General features: G+C 40.9%; 2 protein-coding genes across 2 annotated transcripts in view, besides 5 other annotated features; one reads left to right on the forward strand and one right to left on the reverse strand.

Moving 5' to 3' along the window:
* Positions 1–12,529, reverse strand: part of SCO1 (synthesis of cytochrome C oxidase 1) — a 25,060-nt gene extending 12,531 nt beyond the window's left edge. The window contains exons 1-5 of the mRNA NM_004589.4: positions 12,231–12,529; positions 10,737–10,827; positions 7,760–7,957; positions 6,868–6,960; positions 1,723–1,838 (exon numbers count right to left, since the gene is read on the reverse strand). Of these exons, the coding sequence (NP_004580.1) occupies positions 1,723–1,838; positions 6,868–6,960; positions 7,760–7,957; positions 10,737–10,827; positions 12,231–12,503 (771 nt within the window). The 5' untranslated portion in view covers positions 12,504–12,529. The remainder of the gene's footprint in view (positions 1–1,722; positions 1,839–6,867; positions 6,961–7,759; positions 7,958–10,736; positions 10,828–12,230) is intronic.
* Positions 11,506–12,329: an enhancer, noted in NCBI's record as "H3K27ac-H3K4me1 hESC enhancer chr17:10599827-10600650 (GRCh37/hg19 assembly coordinates)". NCBI's record gives its function as "activates a minimal SCP1, AML or CMV promoter by ChIP-STARR-seq in naive H9 embryonic stem cells {active_cell/tissue: H9 hESC(naive)}" and the evidence as "EXISTENCE:reporter gene assay evidence [ECO:0000049][PMID:30033119]".
* Positions 12,330–12,933: part of an enhancer, noted in NCBI's record as "H3K27ac hESC enhancer chr17:10600651-10601475 (GRCh37/hg19 assembly coordinates)", that runs on past the window's edge. NCBI's record gives its function as "activates a minimal SCP1, AML or CMV promoter by ChIP-STARR-seq in naive H9 embryonic stem cells {active_cell/tissue: H9 hESC(naive)}" and the evidence as "EXISTENCE:reporter gene assay evidence [ECO:0000049][PMID:30033119]".
* Positions 12,448–12,742: an enhancer, noted in NCBI's record as "tiled region #5903; HepG2 Activating non-DNase unmatched - State 1:Tss, and K562 Activating DNase unmatched - State 1:Tss". NCBI's record gives its function as "activates a minimal TATA promoter and a strong SV40 promoter by Sharpr-MPRA in HepG2 and K562 cells {active_cell/tissue: HepG2 | K562}" and the evidence as "EXISTENCE:reporter gene assay evidence [ECO:0000049][PMID:27701403]".
* Positions 12,458–12,507: an enhancer, noted in NCBI's record as "active region_11733". NCBI's record gives its function as "activates an Ori minimal core promoter by ATAC-STARR-seq in GM12878 lymphoblastoid cells {active_cell/tissue: GM12878}" and the evidence as "EXISTENCE:reporter gene assay evidence [ECO:0000049][PMID:35858748]".
* The window catches only part of ADPRM (ADP-ribose/CDP-alcohol diphosphatase, manganese dependent), a 13,965-nt gene continuing 13,621 nt past the window's right edge, over positions 12,590–12,933 (forward strand). The window contains exon 1 of the mRNA NM_020233.5: positions 12,590–12,663. The gene's annotated coding sequence lies outside the window, so the exon portion shown is untranslated. The remainder of the gene's footprint in view (positions 12,664–12,933) is intronic.
* Positions 12,628–12,933: part of a silencer, noted in NCBI's record as "silent region_8201", that runs on past the window's edge. NCBI's record gives its function as "represses an Ori minimal core promoter by ATAC-STARR-seq in GM12878 lymphoblastoid cells {active_cell/tissue: GM12878}" and the evidence as "EXISTENCE:reporter gene assay evidence [ECO:0000049][PMID:35858748]".

Below are 12,933 nucleotides of genomic sequence, written 5' to 3' on the forward strand. Positions count from 1 at the left end.
AAGACAGGATTACTGTGTAGGCTTAATTAAGGCAAACAGGCCAGAACCTTGCTTTTAATTCAGGCTGTAGGCTCCAGGGGCACACACGTTCCAGGTTCAAAGGGACAAAGAAATCATAGTTGGCTGTTGAGACAAAGCACTGCAGTGAGACATCCCATCCCCTCTGCATCTCAACTCTTGGGATGGGCCATGGGGAGCTGCTGGATCAGTGACTCAGGGTCTTGGCCATCTTTCTTTCTACAAAGACAGCTTCACAGCTAGAAAGGCTCTTAGGATTACTCTGCCCAAACAATATTATAGAAAAAACAGAGTATGACAACTAAGAAAAATACTGAAATAATGCTAAAATACAACGCCGACTCTTCATATGATAGGAGAAAAATGTCCAAATTGAGAGGAAAATTGGTGGATAGTGGTGGTGCTAATGCCTTTTGGTGCTTCACTGTGAAACCACTGACAAGAAAAGAAACACAGTAACTTGGGCATGACCTTAAGGCTTCTGGGGCAGTGCTGATGAATATGAAGATAGTTAATTTAAGAGCTACACAAGTACAACAGAATTTCTGTTCCTTATCATTAAAAAGCACATATTTAACGCCTAACTGTCCAAGGCATATAGTCAATGGGCAAATAAACCTTTCATCTTTTGCTTTTCAGAATTCTCATTCAACCTAAAAATGCAGTTCTCCATGGCCTAAAACTGGTTCTCCAGAAGAGCAATTTCTGATACCTCTACTGGGGACACAGTGAGAACCAACACAATCTTTTTAAAATAAGTGTTGTTCCAAATGATGGCTTCTCTTTATTTCCAACATGGCACCCAAGTATCTGGTTTTAAACTGCCCTAAAATCCTATATGCCACTATAAGAGAAAAACAGGCAATTGAATTATGAGAACAGTGAATATAAATCAAACAATCATCTTTTAAAAAACTGCTTCTGGCTGGGCGCAGTGGCTCAGGCCTGTAATCCCAGCACTTTGGGAGGCTGAGGTGGGCAGGGCAGACCACCTGAGGTCAGGAATTCGAGACCCCCTGGCCTCGCCTGGCCAACATGGCAAAACTCCTTCTCTACTAAAAATACAAAAACTAGCCAGGCGTGGGAGCACATGCCTGTAATCCCAGCTACGCGAGAGGCTGAGGGAGGAGAATTGCTTGAATCCGGGAGGCGGAGGTCGAAGTGAGCCAAGATCGCACCACTGCACTCCAGCCTGGCTGACGGAGTGAGACTCCGTCTCGAAAATAAATAAAAAGTAAAAAACATGCTTCTATTATCCTTTCAAATATTCAAAATTCCTAAGGAGGCTGGATGCGGTGGCTCACGTCTGTAATCCCAGTACTTTGGGAGGCTGAGGCGGGTAAGGTCAGGAGTTCGAGACCAGCCTGGCCAACGTGGTGAAACCCCGTCTCTACCAAAAAATATAAAAAAGTAGCCAGGTGTGGTGGCGCGCACCTGTAATCCCAGCTACTCGGGAGGCTGACATAGGAGAATTGCTTGAATCTGGGAGGCGGAGGTTGCAGTGAGCGAAGATTGTGCCACTGCACTCCAGCCTGGATGACAGAATGAGACTCCATCTCAAAAAAAAAAAAAAAAAAATTCCTAAGGACTTTGCAATAATCTTAGGTATTCTCTCTTCTCAGAAGCTAGTCAGTCATTGAAAGCCTTATGACTATTTGGGATCTGGGAGCTGGTCCATGGGTTAAAACTGGAACATTTACTCACTATGTAGTCTTCATCTTCGTCCTTGGGGCCAGGGCTGTAATACACTCTGTATGCTCTGGCCACTTGATCGACCTCTTCTCTCGTGCCAGTCAAGCCAACCAGTTTGGGAGAAAATTCTAAATAAAAAATGAGAGAGACAGTGAAAAATGAGAAGCCAGTAAAACAACCATCTCTACTTCAAAAAATGTATCAGTTGTAAAGCAGCTCTACTGCCACTTTCTTCCTGTGAGTCTCCAAACATTTCTTCACGATTCAAAGGAAAAGGAGAAGAAATTCACAAAGAACAAATGAAAATTCTCCTTTGTAATATATAAGTCAAATCTTTTTATGACTATCTAGTAAAGACCTGGAGGGAATATTTTCTAATCACTTGTATCACATTTTAAATTGATTTTTAAGGAGTAGTCACATGTAGTTCTCAGATATACTAAAGCTTAAAATTATTATCATAAATTAAATACTATAACTTTTCATGGCATCATATGGGGAAAAAAATTTGCTTCATAACTAAGTTCATATCAGGTCAAAATACCTGTGTCTTATTTTCCTGCAAATAATTTCAACACTGGTATCAAGTTCTACTCTTTACTTCTGATTTAAAAAAACTGGTTAATTAATACTAGTCATCCCCAAAACGCAATCTTAACAAAGTTCTGAAATAAGGGCAAATCATTCACAGCGTGTATCTGCTATTAAGTTTTTGGAATTCATGTAAGTGAACCGGTAGAGGTCACTTAAAACAACTGGATTCATCAAACTACTGAAATGACAGCCCAACATTTAACAGCAGTTCCTTTTTCTAAAGGTACAGAAGCCAATTTTTGTTCCTTGGATGAACTCATCATTCTAAATGAGACATTGTTCAGATTCTGAAAAGACAGGCTTTCTTTTTCCACTCTGAGTAAATAAAGAGAAAGGTGAATGAAGCCTGAGTTAGCTGCACATTCAAACTTTTTTTAAAACTAAATTGCTGAAACTGCATTTTTTTCTAAATACCAAATTAAAGTTTTAAAAATCTCCCCAAAATGCAACTAGTAATGACTACATCATCAATCGCTATGTTCTGTTGAAAATTACCATAAAGTCTGGTGTTTTGGTTAGGTACAGCAACTCGAATGTCTACTCATTTGGGGATATTATGGTTTGGTTAGTAATATGTGATTTTTGCCAATATAACACATGTTTAAATTGAAGACTGTGCATAACTCAATGAGTTCATAAATATCTGTTTTTCATTGCTTCATGAAATGACTATACTATTGCCCAAATTTCTGACAAACCTATAAACTGTAGATATAAATTATGCTTAAGTATACGTAGTAAAAACTCTAAACTTCAAGAAGAAAACATAAACCTTCGTAACCTTAGGTTAGTCAAAGATTTCTTATATACCAAACCAAAAGCACTATATTAAAAGGACAAACTGATAAATTTGGACTTCATTAAAACTGAAAACTGCTGTTTGAAAGGCACTGTTAAGAGACTGAAATGACGAGCCACAGACTGGCAGAAAATATTTGCAAATCACACACCTAACTTGTATCCAGAATATAAATAATACATATACACATAATGTGAAAACAAAGAACTCCATAAAAAGCGGTCAAAAGATATGAACAGACACTTCACTAAAGGTAATACAGATGGCAAATAAGAGCATAAAAAGAAGCTTAACATTAACAGTCATTAAGAAAATGTATGCCAAAACCACAATGAGATATCACTAAGCACCTACTAGAGTGGCTAAAATTAAAAAGACTGGCCACACCAAGAGTGGTGATGCTGTGGAGGAGCTGGGACTCTCATATACTGCTGGCAGGAATGCAGAAATATACCATTTTGGAAAACAGGTTCTCAGTGTCTTAGAAAGTTAAAATACACCTACTATATGATCTAACCATTCCTATCCTATTTACTCAAAAGAAATGAAAGCATGTGTCCACACAAAAACATGTACATAAATGTTCTTAGCAGCTTTATCTGTAACAGCCAATAAATGCAAAAAACTCAAATGTCTATAGGTGAACTATTAGTCAGCAACAAAAAGGAATGAACTATGATACACAGAAAGTGCAGACTAATCTTTATCAATAGAAAGCAGTTCTGCAGGCCGGGCGCGGTGGCTCACGCCTGTAATCCCAGCACTTTGGGAGGCCGAGGCGGGCGGATCACGAGGTCAGGAGATCGAGACCATCCCGGCTAAAACGGTGAAACCCCGTCTCTACTAAAAATACAAAAAATTAGCCGGGCGTGGTAGCGGGCGCCTGTAGTCCCAGCTACTTGGGAGGCTGAGGCAGGAGAATGGCGTGAACCCGGGAGGCGGAGCTTGCAGTGAGCCGAGATCCCGCCACTGCACTCCAGCCTGGGCGACAGAGCGAGACTCCGTCTCAAAAAAAAAAAAAAAAAAAAGAAAGCAGTTCTGCAGATGGGAGATTGGGGAGGGAAAAAGGGAGGGACTAACAAAGGCAAAGGAAAACTTTTCAGGGTAACAGGTATGTTCATTTTCTTGACTGTGGGATGGTTTCAGTTACAAAAGGCAACAAATTATATACTTCAAATATCTATACTTTATTGCATGTCAATTATACCTTAATAAATGTGTTAAAAGTAATTACACATACAGCAGATCCTTCATAAAACATATTTTTAAATAACCTCAAAGTTTAGAAGATATGTATTTGAATGTGTCATATAATATAAATATAAAACTATTCTTTAGTGCTTTTAACCAGTTATTAAATCAATGTTACCATAATTAAAATTCAGATTCCTGATTTTTAAGCACATATGCTGAAGAAACTTGAGTCTAGAGAAATTAAACTTGCCCATTTTCACAGATGAATTAGAACCTAAGCATCCACTCTCAATTCTACTATAATCTGTAGTCTTTAAAAGTGCCTAACAGCTTTTAACTAGCATACAGAGGTGTTTGATTGAAATTCCTCCATTGAAAGTAATACCTTCCTTAGAAGCAGAAAAAACAATCCTAAAATTCCTATGAAACCACAACAGACCCCTAATAGCCAAGGCAATCTTAAGCAAAAAGAACAAAGCTGGTAGGATCACACTACCTGACTTCAAAACATAGTACAAAGCCATAGTAACCACAACAGCATGGTACTGGCATAAAAACAGACACACAGACCAATGGAACAGAATAGAGGACCGAGAAATTAAGCCAACTGATTTCTGACAAAGACACCAAAAACATACGCTGGGGAAAGGACAGTCTCCTCAAGAAACGGCACTAGGAAAACGGGATATCCCTACATAGTAGAATGAAACTAGATCCCTATTTTTATCATATACAAAAATCAAATATAAATGTAGGAAAGACAAATGGAAGATCTGCAACTATAAAATTAGTAGAAGAAAACATAGGGGAAACACTTCAGGACATTAGTCTGGGAAAAAATTTGATAGATAAGGCCTCAAGAGCACAGGCAACAAAAGCAAAAATAGGCAAATGGGGTTATATCAAAATAAAAAGCTTCTGCACAGCACAGGAAACAATAAACAGAATGAAGAGACAACCTGGAGAATGGGAGAAAATATGTGCAAACTATTCATCAGACTAGGGAGTTAATATCCAGAATGTACTCAATCATCTCAACACCAAAAAGACAAATAACATTTTTAAAAAGGGCAAATGATCTAAATAGACATTTCTCAATAGAAGGCATACAGATGGCCAACAAGTATATGAAAAAATGCTCAACATCACCAATCACAAGGGAAATGCAAATCAAAACCACAATTAGGTATCTCATCCCAATTTGAATGACTATCACCAAAAATACAAAAAAATAACAAATGCTGACAATGATTCAGAACAAAGATACCTCACACACACCATTGATGGAAATGTAAATTAGTATAACCATTGTGGATAGCAGTATGGAGGTTCCTCAGAAAAGTAAAAACAGAACTGCAATACAATCCAGGAATCTCACTACTGGGTATATATCCAAAGGAGATGAAAACAGTATATTGAAGAGGCGTCTGCATTCCTATGTTTACCACAGCACTAATCACAATAGCCAAGATATGAAATCCAACAGTACTCATCAACAGGTGAATGGATAAAGAAAATGCAGTATACATACGTCATGGAATACTACCCAGCCATATTAAAGAATGAAATCCTGTCATTTGTGGCAATGGAGATGAGCCTGGAGGATACTATTAATATGTTAAATGAAAAAAGTCAGGCACAGAAAGATAAATACTGCATATTCATACGTGGAAACTAAAAAAGTTGATCTCACAGAAGTAGAGAGAAGAATTGTGGATACTAGAGGCTGGAAAGGGTTGGGGAGGATAGGGACTCTGTACCCCATAAATATGTACAACTGTTATGTGTCAATTAAACAACAGTTACTTTGTCATAGTAAATGTTTTATTTATCTTTAAGACAGAGTCTAGCTCTGTTGCCCAGGCTGAAGATCAGTGGCGTGATGTCAGCTCACTGCTACCTCCGCCTGCCAGGTTCACGCGAATTCTCCTGCCTCAGCCTCCCGAATATCTGGGATTATAGGTGTGCACCACCGTGCCTGGCTAATTTTTGTATTTTTAGTAGAGACGGGGCTTCACCATGTTGGCCAGGCTGGTCTCAAACTCCTGACCTCAGGTGATCCACCCACTTTGGTCTCCCAAAGTGCTGGGATTACAGGCCCACCATGCCCGGCCTGTTACAGTAAATGTTTTAAATTTATAAAACATGCACTGAGTTCAAAATATGTTTGTATTTAATTATTCATCTTTAATCTACCAATGAACATACTTCCAGAATATATGTTTGTTCTGATTTTACAATGCAGAGAATGAGTTACAGCGCTGGAGTTAGAAGCAATGTGTCCTTACTCTCAATTCAAGGCTCGATTAACTTAGTTGATACATGAAGGCCAAGTTCAAATCCTTTCTCTGTGACAAAATATAAAGAGCACTGCATCAGGAATTGAGAAACCCATTTCTTACTTACGCACTAACTATCCATAACAATTCCTAGCTTCACCTTTTTATTCACCCATAAAACTGGTGATAATACCATTTGTCCTATTTCACAAGGCACTGTAAGGTTCAAATGAACTGATATTCCAAAAACTTTAAGGCTAAATAAATGTAAAGTATTATTTAAAAAAATACCTTTCACATAATTTGCGATGGCTTCTTTTGTGTCCCTCTCTGGGTCAATGCTGATGAAAAGTGGAGTTAGATCTGGCAGAGTTGTAATGCTATCTGAAAGAGAGTTCCAATTAGTCCGTATTCACACCCTAAGGGAAAAGACAAAGAAAACCAGCAATAACAGGAGAGTATAGGACGTGCTGGACAGCTAGGTGTTTTGAAAGCAGATGGACATCTTAACATTCAGGTGAAGAGGAAGAGGACGGGGAAGGGGATGGAGAAGGGATGGCCTTTAGGAGGAGGAGACCCATATACAGTAGTATTATCTGTGGTGGATAATACAAGGTTACATATCCTATCAAATGCCTGCACCAGCACATAAATGTTCTTCCCCTGGATAATGTCATGTGGCTATCTTATCTCTGAATCCACTCCAGTATCTGTAGTTTTTTTCACTCCCACCATATCTCAAGGGCAAGAAGGTAAATTGTTAATAAGAGCTGAATATCCTGAAATAATTCACTGTATGGAGGAGGCACCCTTCCTTCTTACTAGTACTAGTAAAATGCCACAGACTGCAGACCATTGCAAAGATTTCCTAATTTAATTGTCACAATCAGTGGGGAAGAGGCAATGGCAGCATCAGTGATGCAAAGGAAGGGACACAAAAGTAGAGTTAAGGGAGACCACACTGACATTTTTAAGTGATCTAACATTTAACATCAAAACAAGCTTCTTTCAGTGGAGAATAAGGTCACAAGATTCAAAGCAACAAACAAGCCAAATGCTGAGATTTTATGTTCTTACAAATCACATAATTGCAAAACCCCACCTAACAATAATACAAGGGTGTGAAAAACCTGGTAACATGAAGTAAACATATACTTTGTTTAGTTAGTGATGGCTTTCTTACCTATTTCATCCACGACTTGAATCATCTTTTCTAGTTCTTCTGGACAGACATCAGGGCAATGAGTGAAGCCAAAATAAATCAATAACCACTGACCCAAGTAGTCCTTGTCAGTTTTACGCTCCCCAGTATGAGTTGTGAGGGAAAACGGTCCCCCAAGTAAAGGCTTGCCGATGTGTCGCTGCCGTTCCTTCTCTAACTCTTAAGGAGACAAAAACATATCGACACCAAAAAAAAAGTCAATTTAACCAGAGGTACTCAAATACCTGACATATGGCCCGTACTATGCTACTCATGGTGGGGGCACAAAATGTGGAAAAAACAGTTTCAGTTTTCAAGAAGCTAAAAAAATCTTTTCAGAAAAATAAGCACAAAACATTAAAACAAAATCAAATGAAATGCTATGGTATGTTGTAAAAAAGGAAAAAATATTTCTTCTTTTTCAGGAACAATTCAGTCCTAAGCCATTAGCTGTGTCCATGCTGGGGGCAGGGAGGGGCTGCAGTGGCCTAGAGCTGAATGTCTAAACAAGTGGGGTGCGGTGGGTGGCCTGGCATAGGGAGTCTGATCCTGAGGGTGCTAAGGAGGGCAGCTGGGTGGGGAGGTGATAGTGGTGACGGGACCTTAGTTACACACAGGAAATTGATGAAATAAATGAGTATATTAAAGAGAAGAGAGTTACAATAGGAAACAAGAGTCAACTATGGAGAGAAAGAGAGCTAGGCTGAACCCTGCAGTACTGCAAATACACTGCAGGTACTAGTGTGAACTTCTATCTATATAGATATAAATAAATATAGATGTACATAAATATATCTATTTTCTCACCATGTCCACTGAGAGGACCAGGGAGCAGACACACTCCAAGAACCATGAGCCCAGAACCTGACTTCTAAATATCATTCTTCACTAAAAGGAAACAGCTTTTTGGAGAAATGGCTGATACCAGGGTTGCGGCAAAGAAAGTGTAAAATGAGGCTGGAACCTCTTGTTGTGGCAGAAGGAAAGCAGAACTTAGAGAATATTGGAGACGTGTCAAAGACACAGAAGCCTGCTCCAAGGGGGCTCCCGCTGATCAATCTGGGACAACTTGGGCATCAAAATAAAGAGAATATGGATTTAAACTGAATGAATATATAGGAAACAAGTCCACAGATATAAATAAATGAATACATTGATAGTGGGATGGGGAACAGAATATGTAAGTATACGTATGTCAATACAAATCATGAAACACCATTAATTACATGAGTAACTTTTCAGTAGAAAACCTGTTAGACACACATTAATCAAGTGATCAAACTGGACATTATCAGTAATGGGACAACTGGTACTATGTGGTATCTGACCAGATGCACGGAGAATACAGCATCACTTTTGTGATATTCCTGCCAAAGGTACACAACCCGAATGACCTGAATGAGGAAACATCAGACAAATCCAAGCTAAGGGGCATTCTACAAAATAACTCTCCTGTAACTGTCAAAGCTGTCAAGGTTGTGGGAGTCAGTTAAAGCCTGGGAAACTGTTACAGATGAAGGAGGCTAAGGTAAACAACTAGATACAAGGTGGTATGGTTCTGAAACAGATCCTTTTGCTCTGAAAGACATCAAGTGGCAAAACTTGGAAGACTGAACTGTAATCCAGCCTGGGCAACAGGAGTGAAACTCTGTCTCAAAAAACAAACAAATAAACAATACCCTGAAGATTATCTGAACACTGAACAGCAGCAAAATTATCAGCGTCAATTTTCTAATTTTGATGGTTGTATTGTGGTTATGCTAGAAAAGGTCCTTGTTTGTAGGAAATACACCAAAAAGTGTTTGGAGCTAATGACGCAACATGTCAGCAAATAAATACTCTCAAATTATTTAGGAAGACTTTTCAGATTATTTAATAATACATTTTTTAAATAAAACAAACGTTAGAATTGCACTTGAAATTCCAAACTAAAGTCAAAAAAAGCTTCCATATTCTAGAATTTTCCCGCCACAACTTTCCTAGCTTTTGTTTCTTTGTGAAACTAAAGAAACTTACTGCTTATTAGACTATGAAAATCTTACCCAATACTACTTATTATGCCAAAGAGTCTCATATATATGTATGTCAGTACAAAACTTAACACTGCTAAGTTCCTAAAGCCTATGAATTCCCAGATTTAATCATTAACCTTTGTATATAATGTTATCAAAAGAGACTCCAAAGAATGGAAAGATTTAAGCAATACTTTAAAGATTTACCTAAAACCTCTAAACCAAATCTTAAAAGTCCTAGGATATTCACTAAAATGCAAAGTTCTTATAAATAATTTCTAAATATTTCAAGATGCTAATCCAGAGCAGTTCCTGGCATTTCCTGACCAGGCTCTTTTCACCTCCCCCTCATCCACAGAGGGCATGCAGTATCTACTCGCACTATGCTCCTTGCCTGATCTCTAGGAAGCCTTCTCAAATCTCAAGGCTGGGACTTGCTTTTGCTCTCACAACATGGTAAGCTTCCTTCTGGCCTGGCAGAATCGCATCTAGTAAAATACTTTACTTCTGTGTCTGTTTCCCTTCCGTGTGCACCTCAAAGGCTCGACTACATCTTACTCATCTTCGTACCCTCCAGATTTCATCTTGCCCAGTCAAATCTATCCACAGTATATCTTTTAACATTGTTATGCAGTGGTATCCTAGCTTGGATCCTGGAACAAATAAAAGACATTGATAGAAAAACAAGTGAAATCCAAATACAATCTGTAATTTAATAGTTGTGTGCCATTTAAAATTTCTTAGTCATGAAAAATGTGTCATGGTTATACAAGATGTTAATATTAGGGGAAGCTGGGTGAAAGGTATGTAGAACCTATGCTATCTTTGCAATTTTTTGGTAAATCTAAAGTTGTTTCAAAACAAAAAGCTAAAAAACAACAAAAAAGGTGCTAGTCCATAGCCAGGAAGACCTTTATACAGGGCTGAGCAGATGATAATCTACTTACTCTCTGCCTTTTCTTTCTTGACGTGCTTCATTCCAGCCAGTAAAGCTCCTCCAATAGCAAATGTGATTGCTAAAGACTTCCAGGAAACAGGCTACTGGGGCAGGGATTTCAAACATAAAAATTCTAGTAAGATGCAAACATTTAACCATACAAACTTATTAAAGTAGTTTTTAATATACATACACACAGGCCATGATGTTAAATGTGCAAAATGTTTCAGGGATGAGAAAATGCTCAAAGTTTCTGTGGATGCAGTTAGGTCTGGGATCTGAACTACAAAGGCATTCATCTCCAGGGGAAAGTTCCCTAAGTCAGTTCTCTTCATGTAAATAAAAAAAAAAAAAAAAAAAAAAAAAAGCTCAAGTACCACGATTGTTACTATGTGTGACCCTAGCTCCAGTAATGACTTTAAAACCAATTATGGCCGGGCGCGGTGGGTCACGCCTGTAATCCCAGCACTTTGGGAGGCGGAGGCGGGTGGATCACCTGAGGTCGGGAGTTTGAGACCAGCATGGCCAACATGGTGAAACCCCATCTCCACTGAAAATACAAAAATTAGCCGGGCGTGGTAGCGGACCCCTCTAAACCCAGCTACACGGGAGGCTGAGGCAGGAGAATCGCTTGAACCCGGGAGGCGGACGTTGCAGTGGGCCGAGATAGGGCCACTGCACTCCAGCCTGGGCAAAAGAGCAAAACTCCGTCTCAAAACAAAAACCAAAATCCAAAAACACACACACAAAAAACAATTATCTGCTTATGCTGATACTGAGATAAATAGACCAAACGAAATTTGGGAGGTTAACTTAACTCTGGCTTCCAGAAGTAACAATGCCAAAGTAGAAGAGGAATCTAAAAGTGGAGCTTCTTGCAAATTACACCCATTATTTCTTTGTACCCTTATTCAACTCCCCAAATGAAGATGATGTTGGCCAACTAGACTAGGCCTAACTCATTAACCTTCCCGTAGCTCCAAAAACCCACTTCTCTTACCACAGGGTAGTGGCTCTCAAGTTATTTCTGGGTCAGAATTAGAACTCGAGAGAACCCCAAGAAAAAGGCAGATCCACACATAACTAAGTTCCACTTTTTGTTTCAATTTCAACGTATACATGGAACTCTGGATGGGGCTCAAGTGACAAATTATAAAAGTCCTCTGACTTCTCAATCACGGTAAACTTTAGGTTCATACCCTTAAGAAAACCTGAAACTTAATTTTTTTTTTTTTTTTGATGGAAACGCTAACATAAAATCCAAGTCGGGGCATCCAGCCACGTGGAGAGGGTGTAAAGTCTCAAGTTCTCTGTGGAGAACTGGGACTACCCGCAAGGCACGGGAAATGTAGGATGAAATTCCATGACCCAGGTAAGGCGCGCAAGCTAAGGACAACTTTAGGGGAGGCGGAGTAGTGTCTGAGGTTACGACCAAGTGGGATGTGGCCGCTGGGCTGGCCGACAGCCGCGACGAGCACCAGAAGGGTTCCAGGTGTGCACTCACCCCGGGCTTCGAGGGGCGCGTGGAGTCTCCGGGGCCCTTCTGCGACCACGGGGGTGGCGGCCTCGCAGTGCTGAGGGGCCGGGTTCCCAGGCAATAGCCAGGGCGCCCCGAGGCACGCCACGCCTCCGCTTGCCGCGCGCAGAACTGCCTCAGCAAGACTCTCGCAGTCCCCTCGGCTGGGCCCCAAAACTCGAGTCCGCGAGGCAAGAAGCGCCAAAGTTGGCCACCCAGAGGCCGCATAACTCGTCCGGGTACTAGGACCAGCATCGCCATGAGCCTCGGAGACCGGGTCTCCTTTGACCCTCCCCGCGATTTCCGGTAGCGTTCCGCTTCCTCCGGAAGTCGGAAGGAGTCGCTCTGTCCGTCCCGCTCGTTGGTGGCGCTGTTACATAGCCCGTAGTCAGAGGCCTTTCAGCCCAGGGGCCGGCGCACGGTAGGTAGTTCCCTGCGGCTGGAGGCGGGTCTGGCGCGGGCTGGGCGGTGCTGCGGGGCCGCGGGACAGCGGAGCGCCGGGAAGGGGGCTGCCTTAGGGGTCCAGGTGCGCGGCTGGGCCGAGGCAAGGCGGCCCCAAGCGCTGGGGGCCCCCGCTTTGGTCGTGGGCTTCGGTGACCACAGCTAGCTCCTCGCGCCGGGGACACCCCCACCTCGGAAGAGAGAACACACTGCCTAGAGACCCACGGGACTGGGCAGCCCCCATAACCCT

The sequence above is a fragment of the Homo sapiens genome, chromosome 17 (assembly GCF_000001405.40).
Source record: "Homo sapiens chromosome 17, GRCh38.p14 Primary Assembly".
Classification (NCBI taxonomy): Eukaryota; Metazoa; Chordata; class Mammalia; order Primates; family Hominidae; genus Homo; species Homo sapiens.